Here is an 18,140-nt window from a genome sequence, read left to right as displayed (position 1 = left end):
CCTTTCCCCAAGCTGGAGATAGTTAAGTACATTTGTACACAAGGCTATCTAGTAGACATTGTTGGAAAACATGTATTCTTTGAAAAGTAGGCAACAAAAACAAGGTCCCTAAAAGAGCTCCAAAATCTCAACATCACGAAAAAAAAAAAACTGTCAATAAGTGACCAGATAAGTTAACTGGTGGAAATTTTCCCTGATATTTTTCTGTTAAGAAAAATCTCCAAGTACGATTGAGTGGACTGCAAACATTTAGACTTAACAGTTGTGTGCATGCTGGTTGATGGTTAATACTGTCAAGCCTGTGACAGTTTTGAAAATATAAACAAGCTGGGGAAATTATCTTCAGTTTCGTTATCTCAAGACTTCCAGTACTACAAACTCCGTCAATGTAAGCTTTGTTAGGAATTTCTGAACAAACCTGTTAACAACAAATGGAGATGGTATTTTTCATCTCGTGCCTAAACAAGCAAATATGTTTTTTTTTTCTTACGGCTTTTGAGTGTTATAGTAGTTATACTACTTCAGAAATTCACTGAATTACAATTTAATCCATTGGATACTTTCTGCACTACCATTGTTTCTAACCTCTGCAGGACCAAAAGGAGCCAAATTTAAACAGATTCTTAGTGGTTAACTTGAGAATAATTTACAGAAAAATCCAATTGAAAGGAAACAGCTTAGGGAGCTATATTTTTATGCTAGATTTAGCCCAAGTATGTTCATTCATACAGGATATATCATTATGATTCAATTAGTAGAAAACTCTAAAAAATTAAACCATAAAGAGGTTGTAGATTAATTTCTGTAATGTAATTGAAGTGATGTTAGCTCTTGCCTATCAATTAGGTTGATTTGATATTTACTATATAGTCCACTAATCTGTATTCTTTTAATAAATAACTAAATTCTGAATATTAGTCATGAGCATTAGCATGGAAGTGTACTACTGGGAAAAAAAAAGAAACAGAAAAGTTTCTATGTTAAAGCAATACATGGCTTAGCCTGTTTTTTGTTGCTATAATTGAATACCGGAGACTGGATGATTTGCAAAGAAAAGAAATTTATTTCTTATACTTCTGGAGGCTGGAAGTCCAAGGTCAAGGGGCCGCATCTGATGAGGGCCTTCTTGCTGGTGGGGACCCTCTGCAAAGTCCTGAGGTGGTGCCAGGCATCACATGTTGAGGGGGGCAAGAACATTCCAGCTCTGTATTCCATTCCTCTTCTTATAAATCCACAAGTCCCATTTTGGGGCTCCACCTTGATGGCCTTATCTAATCCTAATTACCTACTAAAAGTTTTACCTCCAAATGCCATTAATATATGCATCTGAAGATTAATTGTCTAATACATGAAATTTGAGGGACACATTAAAAGCATAGTAACTTATGCACACTGTTAGGTTGCCTAAAACATGAACCCAGGTGTGTGATTTTTTTTGCTGCCTTCAGAGTTGTGTCTTTTCCAGAGTGTCATGCAGTTGGAATCATACAGCAGGTAGCCTTTTCAGATTGGCTTCTTTAACTGAGCAATGTATATTTGAGGTTCCTCCATGTCTTTTGATGGCTTGATAGCCCATTTCTTTTCATTGCTGAATATTATTATATGATGTACCATGATTTGCTTATCCAGTCACCTATTGAAGAGTATCTTGGTTGCTTCCAAGTTTGGGCAATTATTCTATGCACATTTTTGTGCATATTTTTGTATGTATATCTGTTTTAAATGCATTTGAGTAACTGCCAAGGAGTGTAATTTTGTGATTGTGTGGTAAGCCTATGTTTAGCATTGTAAGAAACTGCTAGACTGTCTTCCAAAATGGCTGTATCATTTTGTATTCCCATTAGCAATTAATTAGAGTTGTTCTACATCCTTGCCAATGTTTGGTACCATCAGCATTTTGGATTTTAGCCATTCTAAGAGATGTGTAGTGGTATCTCATTGTGGTTTTAATTTGCAATTCCTAACGACATATTATATTGAGTGTCTTCTGATAAGCTTGCTTGCCATCTATCTTTTTTGATGAGGTGTCCATTCAAATCTTTGCCCAATTTTTTTTTTTTTTTTTTGAGACGGAGTCTCACTCTGCCATCTAGTGGTGCGATCTCGGCCCACTGCAACCTCTGCCTCCCGGGTTCAAGCGATTCTCCTGCCTCAGCCTCCAGAGTCACTGGGTACAGTCACCCACCACCATGCCCAGCTAATTTTTGTATTTTTAGTAGAGACAGGCGTTTCACCATATTGGCCAGGCTGGTCTCGAACTCCTGACCTCATGATCTGACCACCTCGGCCTCCCAAAGTGCTGGGATCACAGGCATGAGCCACTGTGACTGGCCTTGCCCAATTTTTAATTGGCTTATTTTCTTATTGTATATCATGTACATGTAATATTGATTGTAACAATATATAGTATATAATATATAATAATGATATATGTTATTGTTACATATTTTTTCCTCATGGGGTTAATTTTTAAGAATTCTTTGTACATTTTACTTTTACAATAAATTAGTTGGAATGCCCCTAGCACCAAGCATGTCTAGACACTCACTCTACCCTCACTCTACTCAGGGACACTTGGTTTGGCTCACAACACCTACACCTGGAGAGCCCACCTTGGGATCCCACCCAGGTCTAATGCCATCTCCTCCATGGAACCTTCCTTAGTTCCCTCCAAGCACCCAGCCTCTCCCTGGTCCAGGATACCCAGCGTTAATTTCATTGTCTCATATTATTTTTCCCCATCTGCCATGTTTATAGTAATATGAGTAGTCATTTAACCTCATTTGTAAGTTATTAGGGAATGAATTGGTTGACCTAATAGTCATCATTGCATTAAAGCCACTTATCAAAGTACCTTAAACATAGGAAGTACACAGGATATCTTTTGATTCAGACTGAAGACAATAGATAAACACCACAAGGCAGGCCAGAAATTGGAGAGAGGGTAGGTTAGAGTGATGTTGGAGTGTCTTGTAGACTGCTCAGATCTTGAAGAAAGTTTCTTGTTCTCAGTAACTGTTCCCACCTCATCCCTGACTTTTGATATAAACTATATCAAAGATGTGTATGAGCCACTTGATATGGAATCTGTTAGTAAGATATATTTTTATACATATTATTGATTTTATGTTATTGTTATTGATATATCTTAATTTTTGTATATTAATATATTGTATATTAATATAGTATTGTTTCTTGACCTTTATATTTATAATATACTCAATTTATATATTTCATACATTAATGTATTAATATACATTATTATATATCATTCATATACATGAATATTATAACTCAATTATATTAATAATATTTTAATCGGTTTGCTTGGCAAACTTCAGCATATTGCCTAATCTACATAGGCATAAAAGTCAAATGCAAATATATGTTCCTGCCCCAGGTCACTCTTGAGATTATTGCATTTGCCAAGACACTGTATCTGCAGACAAACTTTAATAGAGGCCATTAATTTAGATCAAATTATATATTTTTGGTTGGTGTGACTTGTAAAATTTTAAAACAGAAATTATACATTATACCTTTTTAAAAAATCAAATCACTTAGAAGGCTTATAGTGAAGTTTCCCATTCTAGTCCTCTTCCTGCCCATCTGGCTCTGTGAAGGAAATACCTGTAACCACTTTTTTATTTTTTCTCCAGGTGGTTATATCTTTATCTCTAAATAATTTGCTTGAATATCTCTTGAAAATTTTTTAACCTTAAAAATTACATATTAGTTTTTTGCTATAATCTATGTATCCAAAGAATTCAAATTTTTATTTGGGCTGAAAAGTTGTTTGCTACCTTTCTAGCCAGCTTGATATACCTCTCTAATCTCTGTTTTATTTAAATTGAGCTAACAAAAGGAAAGGGAAGGACAAAATTGATTTTAAACATTACTGCATTAAAAACTGAATAATTGGCCGGGCGCGGTGGCTCACGCCTGTAATCCCAGCACTTTGGGAGGCCGAGGCGGGTGGATCATGAGGTCAGGAGATCGAGACCATCCTGGCTAACAAGGTGAAACCCCGTCTCTACTAAAAATACAAAAAATTAGCCGGGCGCGGTGGCGGGCGCCTGTAGTCCCAGCTACTCGGGAGGCTGAGGCAGGAGAATGGCGTGAACCCGGGAAGCGGAGCTTGCAGTGAGCCGAGATTGCGCCACTGCAGTCCGCAGTCCGGCCTGGGCGACAGAGCGAGACTCCGTCTCAAAAAAAAAAAAAAAAAAAAAAAACTGAATAATTTAAATGTATAGTCATATTAATTGCAGACAAACTCTAATCTATTTTTACAAAAAGCTATTTTGTTCTTTCTTGATATGTTTGCTTTGTGCAAGTACAGTTTCTGGAAATGCACTAAGAAGCTGAAAATGGTAAAATATCTGTGGTTTCCTTAAAGTAGCATTTTTAACATAGCTAAAATGTTCAGTGTGATAATTTAACAGCTCTTATTTTCTTACAGCATTCGATTCCATAGATATAACAAAGCAGCGAAAGCAATCTGATGATTGTAAAATAACCCTCAGAAAAGGAAAAATACCAATGGAAATTTACTAGTCTAGTTGATTACAAATAACCCAAAGTGACTCTACTCTCTGCTAGCGTGCTGAGCTGCTTTCTTTGTTCCTTACAGACTGGATGATGTCCTGGTTGGGGCACCTCTCTTTATGGAACGTGAATTTGAGAGCAACCCCAGAGAAGTAGGGCAAATCTACCTGTATTTGCAAGTGAGCTCTCTCCTCTTCAGAGACCCCCAGATCCTCACTGGCACCGAGACGTTTGGGAGATTCGGTAGTGCTATGGCACACTTAGGAGACCTGAACCAAGATGGATACAATGGTAATTTAAACCAAAGCGTGGAAGTCATTTATGTGTCGTCACCACTGCATAAAGGAGACCATGCCTGTTTTAAAGTATTCAGTATGGTGTGTGTGGGTGCAGTTATTATTACTGATTTTTAATAAACTATCACAAATCTCAAGGCAGCTTTACGTTTATACATTTTGACTAATATAAATATTACATGGAAATTTCCCTTCTCACCTTTCTGAAAATTTTTATTTCAAATCTCACAAGATTACAATGCAACACAGAGAAAAATCTGTAACATAATTTGTTTCAATCCTAAATTTAGTATAATTGATCTCCTTGTAGAAGACACATTCGGTTATCAGAAACATCAGAAAAACCTCATTAAGCAATGTCAAAACCATACTACCTCAGAGCTCAGTCTTCAGAGCTCCAGGTAATGGTTTGAGGGTGTTACTACATTTTGAAAACCTCTAAATGAATTTTAAGAGACATTGGAAGGCCACAGGCACTCCAGGTTACAATAAAAATAAGTACATTTAGGTTTCTGCAAACTTCAAAATAACATCTCAAATGTTCAACTTTAAACTTCTCTACTTATAAGTGCTGTTTACTTGCAGAAATATTTCTTATTCAGTTTTAAGAATTAAAACTTTAAAGCCAAAGTTAATACAAAAATCGTCATTGCTCTGACGTCCAAGCAATTTTCTCACATTTGATGTTGGCTATCCTGTAATAGCTCTCAGTAGAGGCAGGAATTATTTTTAAAATTGATGTTTGGATTTGGTGACTTAAAGGTAACTAGGAAACCTTCTATATGTCAAGACAAATAAATACATGTTGATATATTAGCAAGTATCCTGACTTCTGATCAGCCTACATGGGTTATGTACAGGTTATACTGAATTTTAATTGGCACGTAGGCTTCACCTTAGTTTCAATATTTGCAACAAAGTAGTGTTAAACTCGTAGGTTAGGCTTGTAGTTCTTTAGGTTAGAATTTATGAAACCCCTCCAAGTACCCTCTCCTCAGAAAAACACACACCTTCACACAAAAGTTTGCATACATTTTCAGGACCTGAAAATGTATGCATTTTCTTAAATGCACTTCAGGTTCTTTAGTTAAGAACCGAGCATAGTGAATTTCTTGATTGAACTCAAGGAAGTAACAGGAACTTGCTGTAACAAAGTAGCCTTGGAAGTATTCACATCAGATTAGTATTCATTAGTATATTTGGCCAATGTTTCTGTTCTCTTACACATTCTTTGAAAAAAAGTTCTCAGCAACATATGGTTAGTAAATTTTAAAGTATCATAAAACAAAGTACATGTAAAAAGCTTATGGTTCCAGGGAAATTTTTTAAAAGACAAGCTTACCTTTAAGTGACTTGCTACTCTGTAAAGCTGCTCTATTCCTGATCACTCAAGTAAAATAAATAGTGCTAAATTATCTATGGAGCTGTCGTTTAAAATCATATTTTCTTCTATTTGTCTTTTCTCTCAAACCTTTAATAGTATTTTTAAAAGATAAAAGAAGCATTCTAAATGACATAAAGGGAGGTCCTAGCTTCTCTGAGCTTTGGTGTCCTTGAGTATACAAAGTAGGTAAAATCATGTGAAATTCACTGAGAGTAAACAAGGGGATGGGAGTCAAGGCAGTGACTTAGAGAAAGTTAAGAAAGTGTCGAAAGTGTTCCTTTTCGCCTGACACAAGACAATATCTTTATTTTCTACAAAAATCTGAGTTTTTAGATCATCTTTTTTTTTTTTTTTTTTTTTTTTTGAGACAGAGTCTGTCACCCAGGCTAGAGTGCAGTGGCACGATCTCAACTCACTGCTCACCACAACCTCCACCTCCCAGGTTCAAGCAATTCTCTGCCTCAGCCTCCCGAGTAGCTGGGATTACAGGCGCCCGCCACTACGCCAGGCTAATTTTTTGTATTTTTAGTAGAGATGGGGTTTTACTGTGTTAGCCAGGATGGTCTCGATCTCCTGACCTCATGATCCGCCCGCCTCGGCCTCCCAAAGTGCTGGGATTACAGGTGTGAGCCACCGCGCCAGGCCCTGGAGGCTCTTAATAAATATTTGTTGGATGGATAAAAGGCAACAAATAATTTGTCATTGCAGCAGTACTACAGAATTTTCATGGAAAACATTATAAGCCCTTTAGAGTTTCGATACTGCTTTTTGAGTATACTAAACTATTTCTGAACCATTCTTCTGTACTTAAAAAAGAAACGTCTCTATGGCCAAGCACAGTGGCTCATGCCTTTAATCCCAACAGTGTGGGAGGCTGAGGTGGGGTGATCACTTGAGGCCAGGAATTCCAGACCATCCTGGGCAACAAAGCAAGGACCCATTGCTCAAAAAAAAAAAAAAATTCTATATATATATATATATATATATATATATATATATATATATATATATATATATATATATTAGCCTGACATGGTGGTATGCACCTGTAGTCCCAGCTCCTAGAGAAGTTGAGGCAGGAGGATCACTTGAGTCCGGGAGTGTGGGGCTGCGGTGAGCCATGATCCCACCACTGCACTCCAGCTTGGGTGACAGAGTAAGGTCCTGTCTCTAAAATGAACAAATGAAGAATTAAATACATATACACATAAAACATGTTTTATGTCTGTTTTTAGACATTGCCATCGGAGTGCCTTTTGCAGGCAAGGATCAAAGAGGCAAAGTGCTCATTTATAATGGGAACAAAGATGGCTTAAACACCAAGCCTTCCCAAGTTCTGCAAGGAGTGTGGGCCTCACATGCTGTCCCTTCCGGATTTGGCTTTACTTTAAGAGGAGATTCAGACATAGACAAGAATGATTACCCAGGTAAGGTTTTCTTTCTTTTCCCACGTGAGAGTCTACGTCCTGAAATAGAGTCCATTTTCTGAAAAATGCATCATGCAAAGGCAGTTTTCTTCTACAGATGAGGCTGAAGCTTAAGCATGCCACAGGCTTTTTTAATGTACGATTCCAGAGCGACTTTCATGAGAACTTGAAGAAAGACAAACACACGCTTCCTTCTCCTGTCAAGAGACAATGATAGAAAGGCAGAATGGCTTAACAATCTGCATTGTACATAAAACTTGTCAACTTCACAACCCAAGTTTTCATTTGAAACTCCTCAATACCGCGGCTTGCACTGACATAGACAGCTTGCATCCTTTCTGGCGCAAATTATTTTAACCCTTTTGAGCTCATAGCTCCTATTATAGCATGAACCTCAACGTGTCTGTCATGAAGCTCATGTTTTTAAAGCATAAATATTTTCCAGCTTGGCCCATCATGGTGGCTCATGCCTGTAATCTCATCAGTATTTAGGAGGCCGAGGTGGGTGGATCAGTTGAGGTCAGGAGTTCGAGACCAGCCTGGCCAACATGGTAAAACCCCGTCTCTACTAATAATACAAAAATTAGCTGGGCATGGTGATGCATGCCTGTAGTCCCAGTTACTCTAGAGGCTGAGGCACAAGAATCACCTGAACCCGGGAGGCGGAGGCTGCACTGAGCCAAGATCGAGCCACTGAGCTCTAACCTGGGCGACAGAGTGAGACTGTCTCAAAAAATATATGTATCTCTTCCAGCCATATTTTGTGGTTTTCCAAAGATAGACTGAACATTTTAAAGTGGAGAAAAAAAGAACTGGTTCATGATAGGAACCATAACTATTCTTGATTTACCTAATTCACATTGAAGGCACATGGAAAGCCATGAGGCACAGGTAATTTATGTATTGTGCATGCTATATGAAGACATTGATTTGTCTTAAAAGATTATTTCACTGTCCAGGTTTTTTAGCAGAGAACATCAGACTTCTTGGTTTTAGGGTTTGATTTTCACTTTTATGTTTAAGATGGTTTCAATAAATACTTAGAAGTCATTAATAGTTAAATGACAGTTTCAACTACTTATAAAAACCTTGTCTCTTTCCACTAGCCCCTCCCCTGATTGGGAATTTTCCATATGTAGAGCTATTTTTTGGTTTGGGGCAGCATCCAGTAAGCTGACTGCCTAAATATACATCATTAATTTCAGGCCTTTGGCTTTCTTCTCTCCTCTGGGATTAGACAAAAAGGATACCGCAACATATTCTTATAAATTTGCCATAAACCTTTTATGACACTAATGGAGACGTCATAGTGGGCTCAAAGTGGATTTGGTATTATATCGTATACTAATGCTTCCTACCTGTGGCAATTTCAAGAACATCTAGTTAAATTTATTTTCTTAGGTTACATTATGCTAATCAATGGTGGTTAGTTGTTATTACTGGGGAGAGGTTTGTATACATAATATATCCAAATTTAAAATAATTCAAAAATCTAGGTCCCTTATGTAATTCCTACCCCAAAAATGTCAGGGTGATTAATGAAATTCAACTCCTGGGTTGCATTTTAGGTAAACAATTAGAAAGTTACTGCTATTTATTATGGTAGTCATAGGTCTCCTTCCCACCCTTAGTACCAGGAAAATTGACAGAAAGGCTGTGCCTTTGATGAGGCAAAGGAAATAGAGGATGTATCCATCACATAGCCAGTCCTTTGACTTCCTTCCAAGGCTAAACACGTCCCAAATGAGAGCCAGGAAGGACAGAGGCATGAGTCAACTTTTCTCCCCAGGAATACTCCCTTCAGGGAGAAAAAATTTAAAAGCAGCAGGAAGGGAAAAGGAAGCTAAAGTCTGTGCAATGTTAGTAATTGATTACCTCTTTTTTTCTTTTCCTTTTTTTTTCTGAGACGGAGTCTTACTCTGCCCTCAGGCTGGAGTGCAGTGGCACGATCTCAGCCCACTGCAACTTCCACCTCCTGGGTTCAAGCGGTCCTCCTGCCTCAGCCTCCCAAGTAGCTGGGACTACAGGCGTGTGCCACCACACTCAGCTCATTTTTGTAGTTTTAGTAGAGATGGGGTTTTACCATGTTGGCCAAGATGGTCTCAATCTCTTGACCTCGTGATCTGCCCACCTCAGCCTCCCAAAGTGGTGGGATTACAGGTGTGAGCCACCACATCAGCCGATTACCTCTTAATTATGTCTTTTTCTTCCCTTAATCAGAAATATTCACTTGAGGCCATGTGCTAGTCAACAACTTTGCTGAGTCTGATGCAAATTATAATAATCAGACATGTCAGTGCTGTGCGTCTTGTCTCTGAAGTAAATGTTCTTTACTAAGGCAGGCCCGTCAATGCTGCTTGGTTGAATTTATCCCTCAAGAGTCTTGAGGCTTTCAGAGTTCATCCATGCATCTTGGTAGACCTGGGTTCTGGCGCCAATTCTGTCTCTCAAATAGGAATATGGATATCTTGTGATTCATGATTCTATAACATTTTTCCCTGATCCTCATCCTCTAGCAAAAAGAATGCCATTCAAAGAAGCCTTTTTAACTTCATAGCAAGATCCCAGGACCTACAGAGAAGAAACTGCCTTAGAGGCAGGCGACTAGATTCTCTTATTACAGTTGATTGAAAGCTGCAGGCCAAATTCAGGAATCAGACATGTAACTTTCTTCATTTTTCTAGAAATGAATTCCATTTAGCTTTCAAAGCCTCCATTTCCACCATGGTAGAAAATGATGATCTTGCAATCACTTCTATGTTTAGATTTAGTCTTATTTAGGTAAGTATTTATTCAGATTCAAGACCCCTCAGCCAGCCGTGGTAGCATGCACCTGTAGTCCCAGCTACGCAGGCAGCTGAGGCAGGAGAACTGCTTGAACCCAGGAGGCAGAGGTTGCAGTGAGCCGATATCGCGCCACTGCACTCCAGCCTGGGCAACAGGGCGAGACTCCATCTCAGAAAAAAGACTCTTTTTCTCCACCCTGTGTAGCTACCCTCCCAAGGAATGAAATAGAAAGGGGTTTACCTGTTGTCCAGCGACTGGGAAGAGATATCTGGCTCACACCCATCATCTGCTATTATTGGCTTCAGACTAAAGGGTAGCTCAGTCCCTTGTGGCCTTTGGGGCATTGCTCAAGCTTCTGTGGCTCGTTCCATTGTCTGTGTAGTGACCTCTGCTCAAAATTTCCCTGTGTCCTGGGCCCTCTTCGTCCTCTGTTAGCCTCTTTCAGTCCCCTTTTAGCAAATGCTTCTGAGCCACTGTTAGGACTCAGACACGCACAGGCTGGGTATTCAGGTTTCTGTGATTGCCCTCAGGCTTATCTACCTAGATTTTCCTTAGCTGTTGCCAGTTTCCACCCAGGCATCTCATTGCTCCAGCCCCTGATTGAGCTGCAGTCTTGTGATGTTTTGCCTGGGAAGTAACAAAAGCCCTCTTTCCCCTAAAGGTAGTTGGATGGCATGCTTTCTAAACCCTATAGTTCAGTCAGTAAATGCTACGTTCTAGGCCTCCATGACTTGTTTTGTGATTTTTCCAAACCAGTGCTTTTTGGAACTTAAAAAGATAAACAATTTCTTTCACTCTGGGGTCCTGCTTTTTCAAATCAAAAGCACTTTGCCTTTCAAATTATGAAGTAAATACACCTGAGAGCGATAACATCAGCATACCCCAAAATGACCCTGGGTGGCACACACACCCCAATGTGGCTGGGAAATCTGAGCTACGGAATCTGGGAGTGGCCAGCCCAGAGATCCATTCCTTGTCTATGAGGAAGACCTGACACCCAGGTCGGTCCCGTGGAACACGGGCCGTAGAGGGGATTGAGGCCCTTTGTTTTTGGATTAAATGAAGGTTGCCAGGTGGAGGTTGTCAGTGGGAGAGTACTAAGTGAAGATGCTTTATAAACTGCATGCCTTTTGCAAGCGGTTGCAGTTCTCTTGCCCAGCCCTCTACCCCCGGACTCTCTGCCCTGTACGTAGGTCCTCAATGAAACCTCATGTCTCACTTGCTGGCTGTTTTTCAGCCTCTTGAACATGCTGCCATCCCCAATGGAGTTGATAAGGGTTTGCACAACACAGATTACTGTGCCTTCTGAGCTTCACAATCTATTCAACAAATTGACTTCCTCCCTCTGAAATCTATCTCATCATCCTTTATAAACAGGGGTTCGCAACCTTGGTTGCATATTAAAATCACGTGGAAAGCTTTAAAAAATCCGAATGTTCAGGCCACCCTCCAAACCAATTAAATTAGCCACTCTGGGCTGGAGCACAGACTATAGTGACATGTTTAAGTGACCCTGGTGATTCTGGTGTGCAGTACTTTGGGAATGAGTCCTCTAGAGCAGTGTTTCCCTGCTGACTGTGCAAACAGATCACCTGGGTGTGTTTATCAATTGCAGATCCTGATGCAGAGATCAAGCGGGTGGGGTGAGATTCCTCACTTAAGGTGCGGCCCTTACTGCTGGCCTTCACACCACACCATGCAATGAGCTGTAGAGTGCTGAGCTTTTCCACTGAGGCTCTGAGACTCAGTGTGCATGCATGTTATCTGTAGGGCTTGTTAATAAAGCTGAATGCACAGCACCCCTTCAGATACTGTGATGACTGACTCTGAGATGGGGATGAGAGATCTGTGCCTTTACGCAGCACCCCACTTTGAGCAAAACCACCCTAGATTCTTGGCGGCTCACTTCCAGGTCTACAGGAGTCAGATGCGCCTTTTCTCTTTTGCCAAGAACTGGTTTGCTAAGCCCTAGCATTTCATTTATTCTTTACAAGGGTGTCAAACCCACCAGCCGCTGTTCTCTCCAACATTGCCTCTGTGTGGTTCCTGCCATGGTGATGCTTGGGCACATCCCACTCAGGAAGGGGCAGGGGCAACTTTTTTTTTTTTTTAAGAGATAGGAACTTGTGCTGTCACCCAGGCTGGAGTGCAGTGGCACAAATCATAGCTCACTGCAGCCTCAAACTCCTGGGCTCTAGCGATCCTCTTACCTCAGCCTCCTAAGTGGCTGGGACCACAGGAGCAGGCCACCATACCTGGCTAATTTTTTGATTTTTTTTGTAGAGACAGGGTCTCACTATGTTGCCCAGGCTGGTTTCAAACTCCTGGCCTCAAGCGATCCTCCCGCCTCAGGCTCCCAAGAAGTTGGGATTACAGACATGAGCCACTGTGCCCAGGATCCTTTTAAAATTTACTCACAGACATACAGGCGTTCAGCTGCCCTGTTTCAAATTCTCCATTCTAAGTAGATCAGAAACAAAATTCCAAAATTTGTCACTTTACCTGGTTACCTGCAGAATTTATGAGAAAACAAATGCAAAAACAAACATTTAAAATGCTAAATGGAAACAAGTCAAACTACTTGGCATGATTAGGGAATGGAACACCCCTGAGAAGCCACACTTATCAACAGCAATGCTTTCTGATGGGGTTATGATGGGGTTGGTTTTCCCATTCTTGAGATAAACGCTTTCTCCTCATTTCAGGTGACAAAATGCTTAGCAGCTCTGTCTAAAAGAGTGGGCAGTGTTGGCTTCCCCTGGTTTTCACTGTCTGATGTAAACCCTTTTCTGTGCAGCCTATTAAGAAATCTACCTTTAATAATGGCAGGGCATACACATTGCCCCAATCATAGATAGTAGCAAACACTCTTACGTATTCTTAACACAACCTGGCTGCCTTTCACAGACAGAGGAGGGCTGATTGTGATGTTTTATGTGTACTTTTTGTGCATTATAGCTGTTTCATCTTCCAAACTGACTCAAAATAAATTAACACGGCACCTCAAATAACCGAAAACACAGACATATAAGAGGTGGTTTGGTTTATATTTATTCATTGTCAAACGATCTGTTCTGCATGCTACAGATGTTTTGTATATAATCAGGACTAGTTTTTTAGTCTTTGGAGGAAGGAATGTTAGCAAAGTGCAGGCATAGAGTCTGTTATGTTGGTAATGTTTTTTCAATTATACTAATTATTAGTGCTAATAATTAAGAGCCCAAAGCATGCCAGCCACTGCATAGAAGGTAAATACAGTGCTTATTGTAGAATATTATCGTGGAATCTCTCTCATTCACAGATATATATACTCAAACATCTATGTATGTATTTTTTATATGTACTATATATGTATGTACACAGAGTTTATAGGGTAGGATTGGATGACACCTCACTTCTTTTTGGAAAACATCAAGCCAATTTAAAAAAAAAAAAACTTTTAAAGTTAGCCGATGGGCACGGTAGCTCATGCCTGTAATCCCAATACTTTGGCAGGCCAGGGCAGGAGTTTGAAACCAACCTAGGAAATGTGCAAACCTCTTTCTCTACTAAAAATACAAAAAATTGGCCAGGCATGCTGCAGTATGCCTGCAGTTCCAGCTACTTGGGAGTCTGAAGTGGGAGAATCATCTGAGCCTGGGAAGTCTAGGCTATAGTGAGCTAAGATCTCACCACTGCACTCCAGCCTGGACAACAGGAGTGAGACCCTGTCTCAAAAACAAAAAAAAAAAAAAAAAATTTAAAGAGTCTGTGAGAACAGGGGAAGGAAAATCGGATTACCTGAGTTCAGATTCCCATTGAATACTATTAATGTAACAATTGAACAGTGATTTACTTTCAGCTTTTATTTCTTTATCTGGTATGATGGGGCTGATAATACCTACTTCACTGGGTTGTGTGTGCCTGCACTTTCTAGGGCGGGAGAGGATTTTTACAAAATGCTGTCAAATGGCTCAGAATAGAAAAGGAAACCAATTTGCTGATCATGAACAGAATATGAGCTACTTCACCTGACAGTCATGTGGAGCCACATAAGATTTTGAAAAACTGCATTCTAGGATGCTGGAGAGGGACAGCCTCTGTTTAAAATCTGATTTAGAGACAGAGTCTCACTCTATCGCCCAGGTTGGAGTGCAGCGTCACAATCTCGGATCACTGCAAACTCCGCCGCCCAGGTTCAAGGGATTCTCCTGCCTCAGACTCCCAAGTAACTGGGATTATGGGCGTGTGCCACCACGCCCAGCTAATTTTTGTATTTTTCATAGAGATGGGGTTTCACCATGTTGGCCAGGCTGGTCTCGAACTGCTGACCTCAAGTGATCCACCCGCCTTGACCTTCCAAAGTGCTGGTATTACAGGTGTGAGCCACCGTGGCCGACCTCTTTCATTTTTCACTATTGTGCCTTACTGGTTACCAGAAAAGGAACACGCTGCTCCCTCGCTGCCCCTTAGCCATTTAAAAATATTTAAATTCATTTAAATTTGGCCTGAAGTATGGTAATGACAGTGGAAATTGAAAGGAAGGAACTAACACAACAGTGTAAATGAAAAATAGACAAGGCTTGGTAACAACTAGCAGTGATGGAAGGGAGAGGAGGTGGCAGGAGGTAAGGAAGAGGTGGGTGTAAAAGATGACTCAGATTTGAATGCAGTGTACCCAAGAAAAGGATAGTCTCATGGACAGATTGGGGGATTTTGTTATATAATATACAGATTTGATTGCAGAAATAATGTGTGGAATAATTTTCCTAACATCCACCTCAACCACCCAATACGTTTTTAGGCTTTTTACAACAAATATTGTCACTGGCACACACACTACATAGAGTCATAAGTACTTTCATTTCTAGCATCAAAATTCATTTTCTGATTCAAAATGTAGATGTGTTCAGGTCTGTATGTTGGGGTTCATTGGGAAAGTAGGATTGACCAGAGGAGTGTCTTGCATACATTAATTGAGTGAAAGCATTTTAGAGGAGAAACAGCCGTGATAGTCAGGAATCTTGAAATCCAGTGATCTCCTCTAATCCCATTAAACGTGATTGTATAACAATACCATCTGTTAAATGCATAGCTCAGGCATTGGAAGGTGGAGGAGGGGCGGTACAGATTTTGTTGAGGGGCAGAAATCCTACAGGCAAGAAAAACTGGAGGAAAACATGGGCAGAAGGCCAAGACTATCATTGTCTCATCCGGGCCCCTACTATATAATTATATCATGAAGCCATTTCAGACAATTACACTCAATGAAATAAAATAACCCATTATCTTTTCAATGAGTGCTCTGTGTGTGTGTGTGTGTGTGTGTGTGTGTGTGTGTGTGTAGTATAAGCAAACAAGTAACACAGAACCTGCGCATGGAAGGAGGCTTTATCCAAAGGGAATACTGCATTTCAATTAAACTTTAAGCTCCTTGAAATTGTTAATTTGAAGTTCAGTTGAACTAGGTTCAAACATTATAGTCAAAGTTTATTTTTACTTCTCAAACTGCTACTCAAGTTTTGTGTGAAAAGCCAAGCATTATGTTTTTATTGACTAAGATATTCATAGTTTCATGATAAACACATTAGAAATTAGAATATTAAATTTTGGGTAAAAATATCTCATGCATGTAGATCAAATTGAAGTAATTCAACTGGGAGAGCTCTTGGACTTCAATTGAGGAGTGTTGTCAAGTAGAAATGAAAATGAGTGGAAAGTGAAAAGGCCTGAGTTCTAGAACCAGTTCTCCCACGTGTGATTTTAGTAATTCCACCTCTCTGGGTCTTGCCTTCCTTATCAAGAAGTGACAAAGGTGCATGGATTACTCCTCCCAGGGTCTTTTTAATTCTACACTTCTCTGATACTATCATCCCAGATCTAGATTTCCTGCCTTTACACAGTGCTCTGTAATATTGGGTAGATTATTAAGGATCTATCTTTAAAAAGATTTAGTGAAGGCCGGGCGCAGTGGCTTATGCCTATAATCCCAGCACTTTTGGAGGTTGAGGCGGGCAGATCATGAAGTCAAGAGATCAAGACCATCCTGGCCAACATGGTGAAACCCTGTCTCTACTAAAAATACAAAAATTAGCTGGGCATGGTAGCACGTGCCTGTAGTCCCAGCTACTCAGGAGACTGAGGCAGGAGAATCTCTTGAACCTGGGAAGCGGAGGTTACAGTGAACCGAGATTGCACCACTGCAGTCCAGCCTGGTGACAGAGCAAAACTCCATCTCCAAAAAAAAAAAAAAAAAAAAAGAAAGAAAGAAAGAAAAAATATTTAGTGAAATTATTTTTTCTCAATGTTTTCTTGGAAATACTTTTGGACTCACAGAAAAGTTGCAAAAAAATAGTAGACCCTTATAAACTCTTCCCCCAGCTCCCCCTCATGATAAACATCTTATGTAAACATAGTACAATGAGCTATTAATGAATCAATGGACCTATTCGAAATTCTATCGAATTTCACCATTTGTCCCTCTACAGTTCTTATTTCTAGTCCCATGATTCAATCTGGGATCCCATGTTGCATTTAGTTATATTTCCTTACTCTCTTCCAATCTGTGACTGATGATGCTGACGGTAGAATATGTGCTGATTATATGATATTCAAGAGATTGTTATCCATATACCCAGCAAGTATGTGTTGAGTGACTTCCATGTGCCTGGCACTATGCTAGATGTTGAGGATACAGCACTGAATTAAACAAAGATCCTGCTCTCACGGGCCCGAATTAAATCAAATTCTAGCTCTAACACTGGCTGGATGTGTAACCTTACCCAGTTAATCAACTTTCTGGAGTCTCAGTTTTCTCAGTGGTAAAACATGTATAATAATACCTAATAATAGCTTTTTCCTTTAAAGTTGGGTTTTGGAGGTTCAGCTAGATAATATGTATAAATCAGTTAATGGTGTGAATAGCATCTAGTAGCAGCCACTAAATATTAGTTATAAATGACATATTGTTACTATATGGGCATAACGCATGCCTTTAAGGAGCAATGTAATTGTGGAGATAAAACATCCAACAATGAACTGTAATATAAGCAGCAGATGAGAAGAGCTTTAAGAGGGTACAAAATAATGAAACAGTTAAAAAGAGAGAGTGTTTCTTGCTAAGGTGATAAGAGAAAGTTTCCTAAGGGAGATAAGTAGGATCCTGAGATAGGTATGACTGTGAGTGGTTGTAGGGAGAAAGCATCTCAGAAGGGGAACACAGCATGAGCAAAGACCCTGAGATTACATGTGTCAAGTGTGTTCTTGCCACAGTCATAAAAAGCAAGACTTCGCAGAACAGGGAGCATTGAATCAGGGAACAGAAGGACTAGATGAGAAAACTGCCGAAGGCCATATGTATTCAACGTCTTTTGGTCATCATCTGACCCAGATAATTTCCTACTTTTGACAACCCTTTGTATTATCAAGGGATACAACATTGTGAATTAATGATTTGACTTAGTGATATATGAGTGAGGGGGGGAAAAGGGATCCACAGATTTCTAGGACTATGTAATATAGGTAGAATTTAAAAGGAATTTGGTGGCTGGGCATGGTGGCTCGTGCCTGTAATCTCAGCACTTTGGAAGGCTGAGGTGGGCAGATCACCTGAGATCAGGAGCTCAAGACCCCTCTGGCCAACATGGTAAAACCCTGTCTCTACTAAAAATACAAAAATTAGCCAGGTGTGGAGGTGCGCACCTGTCATCCCAGCTACTTGGG

The 18,140-nt window shown here is 39.9% G+C and overlaps 1 protein-coding gene across 3 annotated transcripts in view; it reads left to right on the top strand.

Annotated features, from left to right (window-relative positions):
- The window catches only part of ITGA8 (integrin subunit alpha 8), a 205,969-nt gene that overhangs the window by 68,241 nt on the left and 119,588 nt on the right, over positions 1-18,140 (top strand). For all 3 annotated transcript variants that reach the window (NM_001291494.2, NM_003638.3, XM_011519752.3), the window contains 2 exons: positions 4,631-4,836; positions 7,461-7,652. In NM_001291494.2, coding sequence (NP_001278423.1) covers positions 4,631-4,836; positions 7,461-7,652 — 398 coding nt within the window. The remainder of the gene's footprint in view (positions 1-4,630; positions 4,837-7,460; positions 7,653-18,140) is intronic.

Source organism: Homo sapiens, chromosome 10 (assembly GCF_000001405.40).
Source record: "Homo sapiens chromosome 10, GRCh38.p14 Primary Assembly".
NCBI classification, from domain to species: Eukaryota; Metazoa; Chordata; class Mammalia; order Primates; family Hominidae; genus Homo; species Homo sapiens.
Note: the sequence above shows the minus strand (reverse complement) of the source record. Positions and strands in the feature narration are given on the sequence as shown.